General features: G+C 39.0%; 1 protein-coding gene across 9 annotated transcripts in view, besides 2 other annotated features; it reads left to right on the plus strand.

Moving 5' to 3' along the window:
- Positions 1–22,394, plus strand: part of CAMKMT (calmodulin-lysine N-methyltransferase) — a 410,646-nt gene that overhangs the window by 175,738 nt on the left and 212,514 nt on the right. Inside the window, exon 1 of one of the 9 annotated variants that reach the window (XM_011533113.3) lies at positions 11,889–12,044. The exons of the other annotated variants lie outside the window; for them this stretch is intronic. The gene's annotated coding sequence lies outside the window, so the exon portion shown is untranslated. Of the gene's footprint in view, positions 1–11,888; positions 12,045–22,394 lie in introns of those variants that run through there. 9 annotated transcript variants of the gene reach the window in all.
- Positions 6,372–7,150: an enhancer, noted in NCBI's record as "OCT4-NANOG hESC enhancer chr2:44771195-44771973 (GRCh37/hg19 assembly coordinates)". NCBI's record gives its function as "activates a minimal SCP1, AML or CMV promoter by ChIP-STARR-seq in primed H9 embryonic stem cells {active_cell/tissue: H9 hESC(primed)}" and the evidence as "EXISTENCE:reporter gene assay evidence [ECO:0000049][PMID:30033119]".
- Positions 15,806–16,100: a silencer, noted in NCBI's record as "tiled region #6726; HepG2 Repressive non-DNase unmatched - State 23:Low". NCBI's record gives its function as "represses a minimal TATA promoter and a strong SV40 promoter by Sharpr-MPRA in HepG2 cells {active_cell/tissue: HepG2}" and the evidence as "EXISTENCE:reporter gene assay evidence [ECO:0000049][PMID:27701403]".

Below are 22,394 nucleotides of genomic sequence, written 5' to 3' on the forward strand. Positions count from 1 at the left end.
TCCCAAGTAGCTGGTACTACGGGCATGTGCCAACACGGTCAGCTAATTTTTTATATTTTGTAGAAACAGAGTCTTGCAATGTTGTCCTGGCTGTTCTTGAACTACTGGACTCCAGTGATTCTCCTGCCTTGGTCTCCCAAAGTGTTGGGATCACAGGCGTGAACCACTGTGCTGTGTAAATTAGTACAACCTCTATGGAAAACAGTATGGAGGTTCCTTAAAGAACTAAAAGTAGATCTACCATTCAATCCAGCAGTCCCACTACTGGGTATCTACCCAACGGAAAAGAAATCATATGAAAAAGGCACATGCACACATGTGTTTATAGCAGCACAGTTCCAAATTGCAAAGATATGGAACCAATCTAAGTGCCCACCAATCAATGAGCAGATAAAGAAAATGTGGCCGGGCGTGGTCGCTCACACCTGTAATCCCAGCACTTTGGGAGACCGAGGCGGGTGGATCACGAGGTCAGGTGTTCAAGACCACCCTGGCCAAGATGGTGAAACCCTGTCTCTACTAAAAATACAAAAATTTAGCCAGGTGTGGTTGTGGGCACCTGTAATCCCAGCTACTCGGGAAGCTGAGGCAGAGAATTGCTTGAACCCGGGAGGTGGAGGTTGCAGTGAGCCAAGATTGTGCCACTGCACTCCAGCCTGGGCGACAGAGCGAGACGCCATCTCAAAAACAAAAAAAAAAAAGAAAAGAAAAGAAAAAAGAAAATGTAGTATATATACACCATGGCATACTACTCAGCCATAAAAAGGAATGAAATAATGTTTTTTGCAGCAACTTGGATTGAGTTGGAGGCCATTTTTTAAGTGAACTAACTCAGGAATGGAAAACCAAATATGGTTTATTCTCACTTATAAGTGGGAACTAAACTATGAGAATGCAAAGATACAGAGTGATATAATGGACTTCAGGGACTCAGGAGGAGAGGTTGGGGTGGGGGTGATAGATAAAAGACTGCATATTGGCCACAATATATACTGCTAGGGTGATGGGTGTGCTAAAATCTCAGAGTTCACCACTGTGGAATTCAACCATGTAACCAAAAACCACTTGTACCCCCAAAGCTATTCAAATAATCATTTAAAAAAAGTTTTTTAGCTTCAAACCCAAGGAAAAGTTGCATACCATTTACTTACACTTGTATGCCCTTTATAATAATACCAATTATTACATCTGTCCCATTTATTATATACCAAATAATTGGTATACCAATTATTTGCATCTACACTTTTCTTTCTCTCTCTTTCTGTGTGTGTGTCTGTGTGTGTGTGTGTGTGTGTGTGTGTGTGTGTGTGTGTGTGTGTATGTATATAATACTTCTCGGCTAGGCGCAGTGGCTCACGCCTGTAATCCTAGCACTTTGGGAGGCCGAGGTGGGTGGATTGCCTGAGCTCAGGAGTTCGAAACCAGCCTGGGCAACATAGTGAAACCCCATCTCTACTGAAAATACAAAAACTTAGCCTGGCATGGTGGCGGATGCCTGTAATCCCAGCTACTCAGGAGGCTGAGGCCAGAGAATCACTTGAACCCAGGAGGTGGAGTTTGCAGTGAGCCAAGATTGTGCCACTGTACTCCAGAAGTCTCAAAAAAAAAAAAAAAAAACCCAAAAAACTTCTCTATATCTCTTTATATCTTTTAAATCTATTTTAATCTGTCTATATTGTTTTTCTGAACCATTTGCAAGTAAGTTGCAGACATGATATCCCTTTACTTAAAAGTATTTCAGTGTGAATTTTCTAAGAACAAGAATTTCCTCTTATGTAACCACAGTACAATTATCAAAATCAGGAAATTTGATGTTGGTGCAAAACTGTGATCTAATCCTTAAACCATATTCAGATTTCATCAATTGCCTCAATGATAGTCTTTATAGCTATTTTTCTTATGCTAGTGTCCAGTTCACAATCATGCCTTTCCTTTGCTTGTTGTGTCTATTTACTCTCTTTTAACTTTGAACAGTTCCTCAGCCTTTCTTTGGTCTCTTTTGCCATTGACAGTTTTGAGGAGGCCAGTTATTTTGTTGAATGTCCTTCATTCTGGGTTTGTCTTCTGTTTTCTCATGACCATATGCGGGTTAGGCACTTTTGGCAAGCATATTACCAGAAATGATGATGCACTTTATTGGCATGTCATATCAGGGAATGACATTGATGTGTCTCATTATTGGTGATCTTGACTGTGATCAATTGGTGATGACAAAGGTGATGGCTTCCAGGTTTTCCAGTGTAAAGTTACTGTTTTTCTTTTTATAACTAATAAGCAATCATGAGGCGATACTTTGAAACTATTGAAACATATTGTTCCTCATTAAACTTTCAGTTTTAGCATACATTGACAAATAATCATGCCCAAATCAATTATTAATATAATTGTTGCCAAATTGTCCCTTCTACATTCATTAATTGGCATTCTGTTATAAGGAGAGGCTTCCCATTTTCCCTCTCTTATATATGTATATACATATATATATATGTACATATGTTTTAGTATGGATTAATTGATTCCTGTGTTATTCAGTGGATTAAAATCTTTGCTTTCATTATTTATTTTGATGTTCAAATTGTCCCAGATTTTGTCTGTGAGAACCCCTTCAAGCTGGTCCCTTTGTCCTTTTATCTTACCATTCTTTGTGTACTTTTTAACTTTCTAATACAACAGTGTGTTCCAGGATCATCTTGTACTTTCTCTGACATAGCCATGGAACCAGTGAGTCCTCCAGGGAACATTGATTCTTTTTAGTGGAAAGTGTTATTTAAAAACTCAGATACGAGGCCAGGCCAGTGGCTCATGCCTGTAATCCCAGCACTTTGGGAGGCCGAGGTGTGCGGATCCCTTGAGTTCAGGCGTTCAAGACCAGCCTGGGCAACATGGCAAAACCTCATCTCTAAACAAAACACAAAAATTAGCCGGACATGGTGGTACATGCCTGTAGTCCCAGCTACTTGGGAGGCTGAGGTGGGAGGAACGCTGGACCCTGGAAGGGCAAGGCTGCAGTGAGCTGTCATTGTGCCACTGCACTCCAGCCTGGGCAACACAGCAAGACCCTATCTCAAAAAAGAAACTCAGATATGGGTTCTAGATATACTCATTGTTACTGAGATGTAATTGCTTTTAGGCCCCCAGAGGGGACAAAGCTAAAAAAATTTATATTTATATATGTGGATCTGTGATCCATTTGAAGTTTATTCTTATGCATGATGTAAGATATGTGTCTAATTACATTTTTTCCAAATGGCTCAGCAATTATCCTAGCATCATTTACCAAAAAGTTCATCTTTGTCTCAATGATTTGACATGTCATTTTATTATATACTAATTTCTATATGTACATGGGTATATTTCTGTACCTTTTGTTCTATTCTATTGGTCAGTCTATTTGTGTGCCAGTATCACAATGTTTTAGTTATAGAAGCTTAATGTTTTAATGACAGTATGGCTAGTCCCATCTCATAGGTTTTCATTATCAGTATTTTCCTGACTAAACTTGCATGTTGTTGTTTCATATGAACTTTAGTACCAACTTAGTTCCATTTTAAAAAAAGTGATATTTTTATTGAGATTGCATTGAATTTATAAATTAGCTTAGAGAGAATAGACATCTTTATGCTGTTGAGTCATTCTGTCTTATAGTAGGAGATGTCTTTCCATTTGTTCAAGTCTACTCTTGGGGCTTTCAGAAGTCTTTAAAAATTTTCCTCACTTAGGTTTTGCCATTTCTTTTTATGTTTATCTATATTTTATTATCTTTGTTGCTATTAAAAGGAAGTTTTCCGGTTATTATGTATGTACAGTATTTGAAGGCTATCAGTTTCTGAATATAATTTTATATCCTGCTACCTCACTGAATTTTTACTGTTGAAGGATACATATATATATGCCTGGGTAACATGGTGAAATCCCATCTTGACAAAAAATACAAAAATTAGCTGCGCATAGTGGTGCATCCTTGTAGTCCCAGCTGCTTGGGAGGCTGAGGTAAGAGGATCACTGGGTCCCAGGAGGTTGAGGCTGCAGTGAGCCATGAGTGTGCCACTGAACACCAGCTTGGGTGGCAGAGTGAAACTCTGTCTCAAAAAAAAAAAAAAAAGGATACATATATATTTTTACTAAGACTATTACTTCAGAAAAGCTGTAAAAACAGCCATATCGGCCGGGCACGATGGCTCACGCCTATAATCTCAGCATTTGGGAGGCTGAGGCAGGCAGATCACCTGCAGTCAGGAGTTTGAGACCAACTTGACCAACATGGAGAAACCCTGTCTCTACTAAAAATACAAATTAAACCGGGCATGGTGGCACGCGCCTGTAAATCCCAGCTACTTGGGAGGCTGAGGCAGGAGAATCGCTTGAAACCGGGAGGCGGAGGTTGCGGTGAGCCGAGATCGTGCCATTGCACTCCAGCCTGGGCAACAAGAGTGAAACTCTGTCTCAAAAAAAAAAAAAAAAGGCCATATCTTTGTCTCTAACAGTATAGTCAGCTCAAATCTAAGTCTTCCCCTGTGAACATAAATTATTTTCAGATACTGTTTGGTGCTTAAGGAGGCACATAATTTCTTTCAAGTCATTTGGAGTTTATGCAGCAAGCATAGAGTTGTCATTGTACAAATAAATGTTTTCCATATAGGGCCCCCAAAAATCAACTGGAAAATTCTCAAACCAGTACTTACTGAGATATTTCCATGCATAAACACTGCTAGGCATTTGGGTGTTGCAACAAAAAAAATAGAAGATGCTGACAGCAAAGACCTCCACTCAAGTTGCTTAGAGTCTAACTCAGGAGGTAAGACACATACACATACACACACACACACACACACACACACACACACACACACACACTCTCTCTCTCTCTCTCTCTTTCTCTCTCCATATATGTATATATTTCTATACATGTGTAAAGAAACTTGGCTGGCAATTCAAGGCATTATATAGAAAGATCTAAATGAGTTAGTTGCAAGATAAGAAGAGGTCAGAGAAAGAAGGAAGAGGGAGAGGGGAGGTTTCCTGGAAGAGGCAGAACCACTGTCAGGCCTAGAAGCAGGGACAGTATTCCGAGAAACTGGGGTCTCAGGATAGCAGTTATGGGGTACTTAAGACAGAGACCAGATAAAAGATCATCCCAGAATGGCTTCATCTGGTGAGCTGTGTGTGGGAGATAAAACTGGAAACCTAGACTAATTTAGGTCAGATGGCGGGAGATCCTGGGTGTCAGGTTAGAGAGCTTAGACTTTACTTCCCTTCATCCTCCATTCCTCACTATTATTAAGCTTTTAACAGTTATACTTACTTATTAAAATAGAGAACCGAGTTTAAGTATCATATAGCTTCTTAGATGCAAATTATCGTTTACTAGTATCTTTAACTAGGGGAATAAAGTAGGAATAACCTGGAAATTATGTTCATTTATATGTGATTTTCCTGCTTTTTAAATTAATGCTTTGAAGCAACTGGGGCACACTTTCTCCCAATTAAAGAGAAATCTCATTACTTACTGAAGACCTTAAGAGAAAAGCTGAGAATCTACAGAAGTGCCTTCTTTTAGTGTAAATAGTGGCTCATTTAGTGCCTTTTAGAGCCTCTATTTCTTCCAGTATGATTTCTGCCGTGTAAGTGTAGCCACCAGCACAAATGAAAAGGATGCAAAGACATTTCCCTGTATTAAAGCAATGAATTAATAAAGAGAGCTCTGTTCTGGATTAGTTATGCTTTTAATTTTAATATAAAATAGTCTCTTTAGAATCAAATGCCCTGTGGGACCTATATCTAGAAGGAGGAAGAATGAGCCCCCAGGATTAAGGCTACAAAGAACTGACTGTGGTGCTGAATGTAAACATCAGCTGAGATTAACTATGCTAGTATTTTTATTAGTATTGTTATTATTTTTCTTTATGTGCCGGGTAGAGTTTTGAGTGGTCCAACCCAACCCTATTTTTCTTATAAGCCATATTATTATTTTTTGGTGCATAATTTTTGAGAATGCAAGGATTTTCAGGAAAGCTAGGTGGTTGGTTTTACAAGATAGAAAATTAGAAAATACCAAATTTTTACACAACATAGTTGATGTAATGTAGTAATCATGTATTTTATTTCTCTGGAAATTGTATCCTCACTTATGAAAGCCAGAATACTATTTTAGTAGCATTTATCTATTTAACTTTCATTGTCTGTTGACAGATGTATTTAGAAAATCAAAGTTAATGTAGGATAACCTGGTCGAGTTAGCATTTATTTTAGTTTCTGTTCAGAAGGTAGCAAATATTGGTTTAACCAAAGCTCAGGGGCTAAGATAGGTCAAATGAAGTTTATGAGATTCCATACACTTTCTGGACAAAAATCTACTATACTACTCTTGGAAAAATAATTTGAAAAAGACGTTTTTGAGTAGGCTTAATGTTCTTAATTTAGTGCTCCCCAAAAGAGGAGTATGAGAAAAACATTTAAATTTTGGTATTATGTTAAATACATCCCATGTTTATACCTAAAATAGTCAATGAAATTCTTTTCCTGTGTCAATGATTATTTCAGTGATTACCTGGACATTTGGGAAAGTTAGCAATTAATGCCAAGGGTTATTTATTTTGTCACTGGTTCAGAAATGCCTGTTTATACAAATCAAGACTTCCAGCAGCTTGAGCCTTCTTTTTCTTTTTGAGCTGGTAGAGTCAATGGTTAAAGGACAAAAATTCTACAATTGATTGAGTTACAAATGAATACAGTGTTAATTAAGCCAGGCCATTGTCTTTAAAGTGGAGTCAGTACATTGGAAGTCAGATTTCTCTTGCTGTTTAGTCAAACTGCCTAAGGCTGCAACTGCTTCCTTATTAGGTTACTAGCTTTGGGGAGATGTCATTGTTTGCTGCTGTAGCTAGGCTTTCTGTTAAAAATCACAGCATGAGGCTTAAACTGCTGCAACCATTATCCAGTGCTAACATGTCACTAAAGGTCTGCTAATAGAACAAGAGGAAAAATATCAATCTTTAATTTTAGATCAGCCAAGTAATCTGTAGCACCTGTTCATTTTCTCTCATCAACCCATTTAAAACAAGACTAGAGTGATTCTTTGATGGGCAGGCTATAAGATTCTAATATTTTTTGCCTTTTCTTATCAGAGGAAAATTTAGACTTTAAGACTAAAGAATAGAAAAAATAAACTGTAAGTACATTTCCTTTAAAAATTTTATTTAAGAGGTAGAATTATCTGATGTAATCCAATGATGACTAGGTTATTATAAATAATTTTTTAAAGAATAATTTTGTTTAATTTTCTGAAATTTACTTTTTAGATAAAAGCTAATCAATGAGGACATAATACACTGGTCCAAACAGCAAATTTTCCATAGAGAGCAGAAACTCTTTCAAGCTTTAGATGACAACCAACTTACATTTACCTATTCAGATATAATAAACAGAATTAGAACTTAGCAGCTGCTAGCTTTCCCTTACATAGACCTCAAGGCTCTGTCACGGTATGGGGCAAAATTAAAGAAAACATTGTGTCCTGCTCTTAGGAGAGGTGAAAGGATTGCTTCTGCAAACCACCATTAGCAATGCGAGTTCCAAAACATTCCCAGTGATGCTAGACCAAGTACTACACTTAGCAAATAAACATATAATAAGAGAAACATAAAACTTAGTAAACCTTTACAGTCCCCAAGTATATCCATCTTTTATTTAAATTAAAAAATCAGTTACTACTCTGAGCCTGTCTCTTTACTAGGCATTGAGAACATCAAAATGAGTCATAATACATGTACCCTGCTCTTCCTCGTGGAACTTATGGTCTATTATTGATCCTCTGTATAAAACCTTTCTCAGAGCTAGTACACATGCAGTTTTTGTTTTGTTTTGTTTTGTTTTTGTTTTTGTTTTTTTTGCTGGTGAGGAAGTTGAGATACAGGGAGGTTGTGACTTGTCTATGGTCACAAGATAAGTGGCAGAGTAAGGATTAGAAGAATCCGGTGTTCTAACTTCTAGACTCGGTCTTTTTTTTTTTTTTTTTAACTATATCAAGATGAAGATACCGGAGGGGAGAAGGGGATTATGAAGGCACAGTTTTAATGGACACCTTGTAGAATAATACAAGAGTGGAGTGACAGTATGGGAGCCTTTGATTAAAAAATTAATTCTAATGATGAAAATCTAGAAGCCAGATATAATTTAAGTATCTTCAAAAGGAGGGATCATCAACTCATTTAAAACAAGTCTACAGTGATCCTTTGATGAACAAGCTATAAGATTCTAATATTTTTTGCCTTCTCTTATCAGAGGAAAATTTAGACTTTAAGTAAGACTAAAGAATAGAAAAAATAAACTGTAAGTAAATTTCTCTTAAAAATTTTATGTAAGAGGTAAGATTAGCAAATTGCATCTTTTATATAGAGAGTTATCTTTTGTCTATAACATTCATCAGTATCTGATCATATTCTTTTGGATCTGGCTATCTTAGACTGCTAGGACACACACACACACACACACACACACACACACACACACACACACACACATACATGCACATACCCCTATACCTATGACCAATTTCACATCTAAGTTCTGACATTTAGCCCTAAAATCTCCTTCTTAGCCCAAAGCCGCTGTTGGCCTTGTCCTGGAAATTCCAACTTTTAGCATTTTCTTCAGTGGTCACTTGTGTGATGCATCTCTCCTGAGGTCTACATCAGAGCAGGCTCAGCCTCATTCTGCCACGACCATTTCCATCATCACAAGTACTTGATCTGTTTCACGTTTTATGGAATCGATAAATCTCATCCCTAAAGAGTCCAGCAGGCCTTTGATTCCTGACCTGACATTTGCTAATGCTATTCCTGATGACCTGCCACTACGGATCTGCAGCACTGCACTCTTGTGTTTGACAACACTCATAATATGAATCAATATTCAGCATTCAGTAAGTGAGCTGGGGAGTCATTTCACTGCTGCAAAAGGCTGCGTTGCCCCTGGGCAGCTGTCAGAAATGGGTAGTTATTAATAGCCCTCTCTTTTCACTTAGCATAGTCAGTAGGGGTCAGGCATGAAATGATTTAATCAGTTTATGATATCTGTGACAGAGAGCACTTAAAATGTAATCACAAAATTTAGGTAGAAGTGTCCCTGGGCTGTTGTAATGTTTTTCTCACTTAATTTTCCCTAATGCTGATACAGTGTAGTGCACACTGAGAGACTGACCATACAACAAAATGACATATGAGTTGGTGTTGGTTTCATTTCTCTCTCAGTAAAGTTGCCTTTTTAGTGGGGGTTTTTACTTCACAACATAGACCACAAATCCTAAGGGTAAGTGAGTATAAATCCCTTGGGTTGGCTTGCTTGGCTCTGCAAAATGTGTCCAAAATGTGTTGAGGGGTCCTGAGGGTGGGGAAGAACTTGATTGAGCAGAAAAATATCAAGCTTAGGTTTTTTGTTATTGTTATTTTCTGTATCCTCAAAGAAAATGTTAATGTGCTAGGATTCAGAGGACATTTTCCAGGTACACAAACCTAGTTGAACAATATCAGTAGTCTTATTGGGTCCTCTAGCAGTCACTTGGAAATAAGCTCAGCAGAAGTAAAAGTAAAAACTGTTCTATGCTGATAGTTGGAAAGACAGTACCTCAGCAGGGATTGGTCAAGCTGGGAATTCAGGGTTCAAGTAAGAAGAGTGGCTCTAAAAAATGTTAGATGATGCTGACGTGGTGGTGCATGCCTGTGGGGCTACTCCGAAGGCCGAGGCAGGAGGATCACCTGAGACCGGGAACTTGAGGCTGTAGTGCACCATGATCATGTCTGTGAATAGTCACTGCACTCCAGCCTGGGCAACATAGTAAGACCTCATCTCTAAAAAACAAGAAAGATATGATAGGTGAAAGATGACCCTAAACTTAAAAGGCAGTGAAAAAAATCATCACAGGTGTAAAAGTTAGCAATGCATGGAACAAGATTAGTACAATGTTTAGGTCTTGGGGTCTGGAATACCCAGGTTCAAATGCCATCTCTGTACTATCATTTCCTCATTTGAAATAATACCCATTTCATAGGGTTACTATGAGAATTAAATACGAGCTTATGTAATATATCTGACACATAGGAGAAGTTCAAATAACATTACTTCTCTCTTTCCTTATCTCTAACGGCCTAAATTTGGTTAATTATAATGCAAAAGGGAGGGCAAGTTTTGAGCTGAAGCTGCAGTGGAAAGGGATCATCAAGACAGCTGTCCTTGAGTGTCCCTCCTGCAGTACTGTCTCTCATTGGCTGCTTGCCCATCAGAGGCACACTGATCACTCTAAATATCCTGGTAGAGAGTGGGGAAAAACTTGGCCCTGGACATCTTCCTGCAGATTTAGGGAGACAGAAGAAAGAAAAAAGCACAGAATATGCTGAGTTCAGATTTGTGATTCTAATGTTAATTAATGCTTGCCTTCAAATGGGCTTAGTTCTTTTATTCAACAAGTATTTACTTAGCATCCTACTATGTGCTTTCTATGTGCTGGCAAAATTTATGGGAACAACCAGCTCGAAGTCCCCTCCTGCCTCATTCCTGACTCTGTTGGGTATCATAGGATGAACATTAGACAAAGACATACGCCTTCTGTGTTTCTCTGTGAATCCAGAGCCTTAAAAGCTCTGGCATTGTCTAAGACCCACTTATCTCTAAGTGCTTTGGTTTGTACTGGTTCTTTATCTTTCTAAGCTAGAAAGCCATGGTCTCACATGAAACCACAAGCCCTGATAACAGGTGTCTCCTGTGGTAGGCAGAATTCTAAAATGGCCCCCAAGATTCCCGGCCCTGCTGTACACACACCCTCTCCCAGGTATTTAGCCATACGTTATCTAGATACTGCTGTGGAAGGATTTTGCAGATGTAGTTAAGGTCCCAAATCAGTTGACCATAAAGCAGTGACATTATCTGAGTGGATCTGACCTAATGACATAACCCCTTTAAATCTGGGTCTAGAGGTCAGAGACGGGAAGTCAGAGACGAAGCAGGAGAAGGATTTGCTGGCTTGAAGATGGAGGCAGCTACGTAGCAAGGAATTTTTTTAGCTGAGAGTGGCCCTTGTTTGCCAGCCAGAGAGGAAATGGGGACCTCAATTCTACAGCTACAAGGAGCTGAATTTTGCCAGGAAGAATGAGGTTGGAAGCAGAACTTTTTTAGAGCCTCCAGATGAGAACTCAATCTGGTTGCCACTGTTATTTCAGCCTTGTGATTCCCTGAGCAGAAAACTCAACCATGCCATACCAGACTTCTGACCTAAAGAGTTGTGAACTGATAAATGAGTGATGGTTTAAGCTGCTAAATTTCTGGTGATTTGTTATGCACCGATAAAAAACTAATACATCTTGTTTACATCTTGCCTGTTCCACATTTGTTTCCTCCGAGATCAGATGGAAACATGATCCCCTTTTTCTGTTTTCAAATCTTATGTCTCTTTCTGGTACATCGGCTAAGCTCTTCTTTCTGTTGGAGAAAAATGTTCTATATTCATTTGCCAAAAGAGATGATTGCAATCTTCTGAATCTGGTGAATGCCTGAGGCTCTCTCACCAGTTTACCAGCTCTGTCCACTTCTTTGGGCTCTCTTTGGTGACTAATCACTCAAGCATCCTCCTTCCCAACCCCTATGGGAATTCTCTGCCAGATTACTATGATTATAGTTTTATAATCCTAAAAAAAAAGACCTGAAAATGTACAGAGTGACAAACATAATTCACCCCAAGGGAAGAGAAGAACCTCTCTCACACAGCAGGAAGACTCAGTTTTTCCTGTCCAGTCACTTGCCACAATGTCTTGAACTGAAAACCACAATTACTTTTGCACCAACCTAAAATGTATATATAATTTTTTTTCTTTTTTTCTTAGACACAGGGTCTCACTCTGTTGCCCAGGCTGGAGTGCAGTGGTGATCATAACTCAGTGCAGCCTCAAACTCCTGAACTGCTCATATATTTAAGAAACACTTCGTGGCAGAAGATTATGATACTCTTGCTTATTTATTGGCTTAAGGATTAAGGATCCCCAAAGTCTCAGACTTCAGTAAGTAAGCCTATGTCCTACATGATGTCTGTAAACTCCACTCCCTCTTAGACTTACATCCTAGAACAAAGACATAGGGGGCTTCTTCAACTGTGGCCATACATTTTTGTCCCAGACCCAGCTTCATTGTGTTAAAAGTCTTGGTGTTATGTGAAGAGTGTCTTTATCCATCCTTCCGTCATTCAGTGTAGAGTTCTAGGATTTTTGAAATAGGATAGATTCATTCTGACCTGCCTGAATTGAAAGTCATATTAAAATGTGGGCAGGGAATCGGGAAGGGAAATGTGGAGAAAAGGAATGTGTGTGTAGTCATATTCACAAAAATACCTTGATAAAGAGCCAATACCAGCACAAAGAACATCAGCATATATGTTTTTAAGACTGACAGCCACTGGGCGTGGTGATTCACATTTATAATCCCATCACTCTGGGAGGCTGAGGTGGGTGGATTGCTTGAGCCCAGGAGTTTGAGACCAACCAGGGCAACATAGGGAGACCCCGTTTCTACAAATCATTAAAAAAATTAGGCAGGTCTGGTGACACATGACTGTAGTCCCAGCTACTCTAGAGGCTGAGGCTTAAGCCTGAGAGGTTGAGGATTCAGTGACCTATGGTAGTGCCACTGCACTCCAGCCTGGGTGACAGAGTGAGACTCTGTCTCAAAAAAAGAAAAAAAAAAAGAAAGAAAAAAGACTGACAGTCATGTAAGATCACATTTACATATAAAATGCATATATGTAACATTTCTTATATGAAGATGAATAGTAAAGGAATTAAATCAATTTAATTTCTACTAGTATAGAATTAAATGTCTACTATAAAGTTATCACTAAGCTGAGCTCTTAGGGAGACACTGAACCCAAGGAATTTATAGGCTCCGTCTATCTTTTTTCTATTCCATGTGGTGTGAGAGAAGTCAGTTACCAAGATCTATTGACCATCTATCCACTCTTTTCTGAACCAAAGGCATACTCTAAAAGCTTGCAGTGACTGGATGAGTCAAATTCTGTCACTTCCTCTTTACAAGTTGTTTTGTAATGATTAAACCAGTGATACATTGTATCATACATTGATTGAGGAGGCATTTAATACTTAAAGTGAGAACTGTTGCAAGTTATCAAAGGAACTGTGGGTGTTCTGTATATTCTCTGTATATCTTCATAGAGACTGCCGAGAATGGGGCTTGAGACTAAAGTTTTAAACAACTCATTCATGAATGTCCATCTACCTAAACTTCTGTACACAATATATGACAACTTGCAAGACCTGGAAACCAGATGTTTTTAAAATTGTTTTCTTCAGTGTTTTATTGTAAAAAGTCTCATCTATTCTACCTAGCCACATAATTCCAGGTGGTGTTCTAGGGTTCAGGGTAGAGTACGTGGCAGTAATGTAGTCACAAGATTATGTAGTCCTGTTTAATGGGGCAGAAACCCACATCTGCAAGATCTTTATTCTCTCAGATTGCTGAGACAAAGAACTGGATACGGGGCTTTACACAGTGTCATGCAGTGCGTGGGCATGCCTTCTATGTCACATTAATTGTATTTATAAATTTACTCCAGAAACCTGAGCATGAAGACTCTAAATTCTCACTGTTCAGGTGACTCTAAGCAGATGGCTTATGCATAAGATTGGAAGGATTGGAAGTTCTAAAGGGAATTGTGCGTGTTGCCCTTTGTGTTCCATAGGCCATTACCACTGGGCCTTGAAACTCCCTGGAGTTTTATGCATAAGAAAGAAAGATGTCAAATTTGCCTTCTTGAGTAGTTTTATCAAGGTCACCTATGATCTGTATTTAACATTTGGTTGCAAGGGAGAGTTCCCAACAAAAAGATGCTGGAACACAGCCAGTCCATTAGCATTGAGGCCATGCTTTCTTCAAAACATCCTGGGCTCTATACCAAAGTATGCTTTTTAAATGGCAGCAGTGGAAAAGATTTGTCGAAAACTCATGTCACTGTAGATGAATTTGCTCTGAAGAATAGAGATCATTATCAGCCCAGTAAATTTTGAGACATCAGAGTGAAGCACTGTACTAAGTGCTTTTGTACATGTCACTTCACTTCATCTTCATAATAGTCCTGAGAATCACATAATTATTATTCTCATTTTACAGAAGAGAAAACTGAGTCCTATATATGACATACCTTGTATACCTATGGAGAGCTTTCCTTTGTTGGCAATATTATACCAGAAACAGTTTAGCTTACTCAGGGCGAAGTGTAATATGGGTTTCTAACATATAGATTTTTTTTTAGTTTTCATTTTTTAATAGATTTAGAGGGGGACAAGTGCAGTTTTGTTACATGGACATATTGTGTAGTAGTGAAATCTGGGCGTTGAATGTAAGCATCACTTGAATAGTGTACATTGTTTTACCCATTAGGTGATTTCTCATCTCTCATCCTCCCCTCCGAGTCTCCAGTGTCTATTATTCCACTCTATGCCCATAGGTATGCATTATTTAGCTCCCGTTTGTGAGTGAGAACACTAACCTACAGTTTGAATGTATGTTCACAGTGATACACAATGATATTTCGATTGTACTCATTATTACTTTTGAGTCTTTTAAATAAAATTCAGAAGAGAATTTTATTTAAAAGACTGTGGCTTTCTCATTAACAAGACAGGCAAACTGAACCAATTCATTTACCTATCTAGTGCTTGACATGGAGGATTTAAGAAATCCTAGAAAAGATTTCTAAAATGGAAGATTTTACTTGGTGATCTTTACAGTCAATAACAACTCCAAAATCCTGGAATCTTATGCAGATAGAGTCCTTTCATACAAAATACTGTGGCAGTGCTCAGAATCTGGTGTGAGGTCTGAGGCAACCACTCACCTCCATATTTTCCATTTATTGAGCACTTACGTTTCAGGAACCATGCTAAGCGATTTACATACATCATCTCATTTAATTCTTACAACTGTTCTGCTAATATTATTTCCATTTTACATATGAGGAAACTGAGATACAGAGAGGCTTAAGTAATTTGTCCAAAGTCATATGGTATGTGATGGTAGAGCTGAGATGTGAAAACCAGCCTGTTTGACCATCAAGCTAGCCTCTTACCATTGGGCTATTTACTTTATTTATTTATTCAGCCTTAGGGACAGGATAAGTTTATGTCATTTAGTCAGGACCCTTTCCCCTGATAATCTTTGGACAAATCAGCAATAATTTTAAAAGAAAGAGACAAATATTTTAGAGGAAGGGAATAGGATAATTGGAAAGAAACTAAGAGGGTGCTGTGAAAGTATACATAAGGCGAAAGGAGGCTTAGCCAAAGAGTTCAAAGTCAGAATGCTCCCTTGTCACAGAAATTAAGTACTAGATGTGTGCTATGATTTAAATTTTCATGGCACATTAAAGTCTTTTGTTGAAAAACCTGTAACATCTTCAGCAAGTAGTAGACACTATTTAAGTACCTGTAATTGACCAATACGATACTATACTACTGGTGTTCTGTTCACTGTTGACCCAGAAGGCCACATGTGTAGATAGCATATGAACCGTCTTCATTTTATACTCTGTTCTCTCATACAAGTGCTCTAAAGTGACTTTTAATCTCTGTTATATATAGTTTTATCCATTAAGAGGATATGACATCTTTTCATTCAGAGTGAGACACTTTTTTTTTTTTTTTTGGGACAGTCTCGCTCTGTCACCCAGGCTGGAGTGCAGTAGCGCAATCTTGGCTTACTGTAACCTCCACCTCCTGGGTTCAGGTGATTCTTGTGTCTAAGACTCCTGAGTAGCTGCGACTATAGGCATGGGCCACCACACCCCACTAATTTTTGTGCTTTTAATAGAGATGGGGTTTTGCCATATTGGCCAGGCTGATCTCGAATTCCTGGCCTCAAGCCATCTACCCAACTCAGCTTCCCAAAGTGCTAGAATTACAGTTGTGAGACACCGTACTTGGCCACGTTTTTGTTGTTGTTGTTAGAAATGTGCTCTGAGACTGGCATTTCCTCTCTGTGACTAATCAGCATTAGATGGGAAGATAGTCAACTGTTGCATTCTTTTTCTATTCTAATTATTGTCATGGCTCTGGTAGTATTTCTAACTATAATTTTACACTAAAATAAAAAGAATAATTTATCAAATGAAGCTATTTTAGTGAATTTAAAATGTATGACATCCCTCTCATAAGGTAGCTTTGCTTGGTTACTTTTATTGTTTTGTTGAGTATTCTGATTCTATAAAACATAACATTTAAAAAAGAGGTTGTAGGCATTAATATAATATTAAGTGACTTGCAAATAAAGAAGTATGGAGACTCTTAGGAGGTGGGTGCCTATTTATCTCTTTAAAGAACACAGTTTTAGAAATGTTTGCTTTATCCATTATGACCTTTTGCTAACTCATTCATTCATTCAGTAGACATTTAGTGTCTGTATGTTCAGTCGGAGTTCCTGGGGTAAGAATTAGACATTCAAAGACAACTAAGATAGAGTTTATACCTTTGAGAAGCTGACTGTTTTGTGAGGGAGATAGACAAGGGAGGAGGAAAATCCAGTAGTTAGTTAAACATTATGATAGAGGTATGCACTGGATGGTGTGTGAGCACAGAAATCTTCCTAGTAACCCAGATTGCCTAGGTTCAAATCCTGGCTTTGCCACTTGTTGACTATGGGTCTTGGACAAGTTACTTGACCTTTCTGTGCCTCATTTTTCATACAGCCCTTAGAACAGTACTTGATACACAATAAATATTCGCCGGGCACAGTGGCTCATGCCTGTAATCCTGACAGTTCAGGAGGCCAAGACAGAAGGATTGTGTGAAACCTGGAGTTCAAGACCAGCCTGGGCAGCATAGTGAGACCCTGTTCCTACAAAAATTTAAAAAATTACTTGAGCATAGTAGTACATGCCTATAGTCCCAGTTACTTGGGAGTCTGAGGTGGGAGGATCACTTGAGCCCAGGAAGTCAAGATCAGCCTTGGCAACATAGTTAGACCTTGTCTCTATAAAATAAAAAATAAAAAAATTACCCAGGTGTGGTGGCATATGTCTGTAGGCCCAGCTATTTGGGAGGCTGAGGTGGGAGAATCGCTTGAGCCCAGGAGGTCAAGGCTGCAGTGAACCATGATCATACCCTGCACTCCGGCCCGAGTGACAGAGTGAGACTGTCCTCAAAATAAAATGAAATGAAAACACAATAAATACTGCATTAGGATCTGTTAAATAAGATATTTAAAGCAGAATGGATGAATAGGAATTAACCAGATGAAGGGCGTTCTGGTTGGGGTGGGAGTAGGGAAGATAGGATGGTTTTGAGGAAACTGCATATATGGAAGGCCTTGGCAAGAGGGATCTCGGAACTGTTGAAAAGGGTGGAAAGGGGGCAGCAGCAAAAGAATAAACTGGAGAAGTAAGCAGAAACCATATTACACAGTCGTGTCTGAAAACATGGCAATAATTTACATTATTCATTCAGGTTCATATTTTTACCATATTTTCATGGAGGATGGATTGGAGTAGGGAAACCAGTCAGAGGCTGTTGACATGGTTCAGATAAAAACTGATTGAGACCTTAAACTAGGGGTATTGGTGGTAGGGATAGAGAAGAAGTGAATTGATTAGAAAGCTGTTGAAAGTGTGGGATAAGGGACAAGGGACAGGTGGGAGTCAGACACATCTGACGGTTTCTGGCTTGTTTGACATATTGCTGAAGCAGGGACTACAGGAAGAACAGATTAGGGTGAGGATGGGGAGGGAGGATGGGTTCCATTTTAGATATTTTTGAGTGAGTGGAGCCTGTGGGACAGTTAGAAGAGCTTTCCCAATAGGCCTTTGGCTGTTGAGAAGGTCTAGGCATCAGGAGAGTGGTCTCATCTGTAGAAATTGATTTGGGAGTCATCTTCAAATGAATGTGGGTTGAAGCCGTGAGAGTGGGTGAGATTAAGAAAAGGAATAAAGAAAGAATATAATAGAATTTAGGATAGATTCCTGGTGATCACTAATTTGAGGACTGGGTATATAGACTGAAACAGACTGAAAGGTAATGCCCAAAGAGGAGGAAAACCAGGAGTTGTCATAGAAACCAAGGGAGGAGAAACTTTCAAGGGCAAGAGAGTGGCCAACCATGTCAAATCCTGCAGAGCTTTTGGTTAGGATGGGGACAGAAAAGTGTCCATTGAATTTAGCAACAAAGAGGTCATTATTGATTTTGGCCAGAGAGGCTTCCAGCAGGGAAGAAGGAGTGGCAGCCAGATTGCAGTGGGCTAAGGGGTGAGTGAATGGGAGGAGCAGAAGTATAGCTTGTCTAAAGGAAAATCAAGACATGGGGCAGCAGAAAGGGGAATGCAGGGTTATACCTGTCTGTGTTATAGGTAGCATCTTCATTGCAAAGTGAAAGGCTATTTAAAAATACCTACAATTTTTTTTATTTTTTATTTTTATTTATTTACTTATTTTGAGATGGAGTCTTGCTCTGTCACCCAGGCTGGAGTGCAGTGGCGCCATCTCAGCTCACTGCAACTTCCGCCTCCCAGGTTCAAGTGATTCTCCTGCCTCAGCCTCCCAAGCAGCTGGGATTACAGGTGGCTGCCACCACACCTGGCTAATTTTTGTATTTTTAGTAGAGACAGGGTTTCACCATGTTGTCCAGGCTGTTCTTGAACTCCTGACCTCTGGTGATCCACCTGCCTCGGCCTCTCAAAGTGCTGGGATTACAGGCATGAGCCACCGTGTCCAGCCAATTTTTCTTTCTTTTTTTTTTTTTTTTTTTTTTTTTTTTTTGAGACGGAGTCTCGCTCTGTCGCCCAGGTCGGACTGCGGACTGCAGTGGCGCAATCTCGGCTCACTGCAAGCTCCGCTTCCCGGGTTCACGCCATTCTCCTGCCTCAGCCTCCCGAGTAGCTGGGACTACAGGCGCCCGCCACCGCGCCCGGCTAATTTTTTGTATTTTTAGTAGAGACGGGGTTTCACCTTGTTAGCCAGGATGGTCTTGATCTCCTGACCTCATGATCCACCCGCCTCGGCCTCCCAAAGTGCTGGGATTACAGGCGTGAGCCACCGCGCCCGGCCCTCTTTTTTTTTTTTAAAGGATTAATCCGCTAGGCACAGTGGCTCACGCCTGTAATCCTAGCACTTTGGGAGGCCGAAGCAGGAGGATCCCTTGAACCCAGAAATTTGAGACCAGCCTGGCAAGATAATGAGACCCCGTCTCTACAAAAAAAATTTACAAAATGATACAAGTGAGGATGATGTAAGTTTATTTCAGGGAGAAAATGCACAGGAACTACCCACTCCCTGCTGGAATGCAACAGCATGCAAAAGTTTTATCTTTTTTACTTTCACCTATGTGGTTTGCTTTAACTCTTTTCACTGAGGAAATGCCTTGTTTATTAACTTTTCTAGACATAGGATTCATTCATCATTAATGATAATGTGGTTTCCAAGTATTATTTGTCAGAGAAATGTCCACTAGAAATGATAATGGTACTAACTGTGTCCTCTTTCTGCCATCACTTTAATCTTACTCATATCTCTGTGGGAGGATGGAGCTGAAAGATAAACCTTTGGTACATTTTCTAGTTTTGTTTCTGGCTTTTTTTTTTCCTATTTAAAAGTGTTAGTACATTCTCTTATTTGAGGAAATAAAACTAACACATGAAACAAATAGGAAGCAAAAATAAACGGTGCTTAAGAAGGTAGTTAATTTTATGGTACAATAAGGGCAGGCCATTGGTTGGTTTCTTTGTTTAGAGGGCAGTCCTTTTTTGAGGAAGGGGAATATTAGTGGAATGGTCTGGTGATGTTGCTCCTCATCTTGACCTGAGGGAATGTCTTGAACAAGTCAATTAACTTATTTCTTCCTTCTTTCCTCCCTCCTTCCCTTCTTTCCTTCCTCCCTTCTTCTATGTGTAAAATAGAAACAGTAACAACAGTAATAATCTCTTTAGAGAAGCTTGAGAAAAAAAGGTTTCTAAATAAATAGAAGAATGGTTAGCACCATATTTCTGAGTCCTTGTCCATTTTCTTGTTACCGGGAGGTGATCACTTTTTGTGGAGAAAGTATTTTTAAGTCACTTTTTTTTATTTTCTACATTTTTCTAATTTCATGTTGCTGTTTTTAAAATATAAGGAATAGACAAAGAAGGAAGTTTAAGATTAACCATTGCTCTCTGCTCTGTATCAATTTAGGTTGGTCTCCACTCCCCACTGCGCATGTCAGTCAGTTTAAAATATCTGTTATCAGGACCCTGATTGGCATTAAAGGAAAACTTACATAATGAGTTTCACCCAGGGATGATCAACTGCAATACTATTGTGAGTTTTATTTATTTATTTATTCATTCATTCATTCATTCATTCATTCATTCATTCATTCGATGAGATCTTGCTCTGTCATCCAGGCTGGAGTGCAGTGATGTCAATATAGCTCACTGCAGCCTCGAACTCCTGGGCTCAAGTGATCCTTCTGCCTCAGCCTCCTGAGTACCCACCACCACACTCAGCTAATTTTTTAAATTTTTTGTAGAGATGGCATCTTGCAATGTTGCCCAGGCTGATCTTGAACTCCTGAGCTCAAGTGAGCCTCCTGCCTTGGCCTCCCAAAGTTGTAAGATTACGAGAGTGAGCCACTGTGCCTGGATAATTGTCGGTTTTCTAAGAGCTCTATTGCATTGCCCCAGTTTCCTTGGTACTTGCTAAGTTTAGACCTCGGGTGGACCAATTTACATATATGGGAATATGCAGGAAATGCTTTTATCATCTGTTGTATCCTCAAAAGATAGTTCCTAAGGCAGAAGTCTATCTTCAATAGATAGAGTTCAGAGAGACAAATTAATTAATTCTCAGAGGTGGATTGGATAAGGAAATTGTGGTACATATGCCCCATGGACTACTACACAGGCATAAAAAAGAAGGAAATCATGTCCTTTACAGCAACATGGATGCAGTGGGAGGCCATTATCCTAAGCAAATTAATGCCAGAACAGAAAATCAAATGTCACATGTTCTCACGTATAACTGGGAGCTAAACGTTGAGTACACACAGACTCAAAGATGAGAACAATAGACACTTGGGACTCCTGGGGTGGGATGTGGAAGAGAGGTGAGGGTTCAAAAACTAACTATTGGGTATTATGTTCACTACCTTGGTGATGGGATTATTCGTACACCAAACCTTAGTGACACTTGAATTACTCATGTAACAAACTTGAATACATACCCCCTGAACCTAAAATAAAAGTCTGGAAAATGTGTCTCTGTGTGTGTGTGTGTGTATGTATGTATGGATAGATAGATAGATAGATAGATAAACAGACAGACATTATCTGTCTATCTAACTATCTATCTATCATCTATCTAGAATCCAAAATAAAATTAATTCTCAGTTTCTACAACAGATGGTTCTTCAAAGGCTTAGATCCACTAAAGCTATCCAACTTGAACACTTTTGGATTAGGGATGCAACTTAGTGGTGGTGCTGTTTTAATTAGGACACACTATTTGCAGAATCATGAAATGATGGTGTTGGAAGGGACTGTATAGTCCTCTATTGCAGCTTCCCCTTCAGTTGAGGAACTCCTCCGAGAGCATCTGTCACAGACTTGTGAGCATCTTCACTAATAGGAAGTGCATTCCTTTTGAGGTGGTACACAGTTAAACTGTTGCAGGTGTGAAGAAATGTTCTTCATCAAGAGCCTATGTGTTCCTCTCTGTGATAATGTACATTCTTTGCTCTGCTCTCTAGAGCACCACCTTATTTTCATGACAGTCCTTCAAGTATTTCATGACAACTCTCATGGCTTTTGTAAACCTTTATTTCTTCAAACTAAGAATTTCTATTTTACATAACCACTTTTTTTTTAATGTGGTCTTCAGATTTTTCACCCTCTTCTCTACCAAATCTGTTATCCCTTTGAAAGATGTGTCTTACACAGGGTCTAGTTGAGCAGACTAGTATGTCTGTAGAGCTGAACCCTCTATCTACTTACTGGAGGATAATTATGGAGGAGGGGAAAGAGTCTAGCTCAATGCCTGAAACAGTTATTGATTTAAATTTACATAAATGGTTCATGATAAAGCATTTTATGACTATTCAGAATCAAGTTTTTTATTTGAACTGCTAGCAAACTAGGTCTTGTCCAATTTGTACATGGGACCTAATTTTTTGTTTAAGATAAAAAAGCTTCTCTATGTTTTTGCCTGCAAAATTTCATTTGACTTTGAATAATATTGGTTTTTAAACTCATTTTTATATTGACTTTGAATAATATTGGTTTTTAAACTCATTTTATGCCAATCAAAGTCAATTCAAGTTTTTATTCATCATCTGTATTATTAACTAGCCCTCTTGCTTTGGCTATTGGGAAATGTGTAAGTTTGC

Source organism: Homo sapiens, chromosome 2, assembly GCF_000001405.40.
Source record: "Homo sapiens chromosome 2, GRCh38.p14 Primary Assembly".
In the NCBI taxonomy this organism is placed as follows: Eukaryota; Metazoa; Chordata; class Mammalia; order Primates; family Hominidae; genus Homo; species Homo sapiens.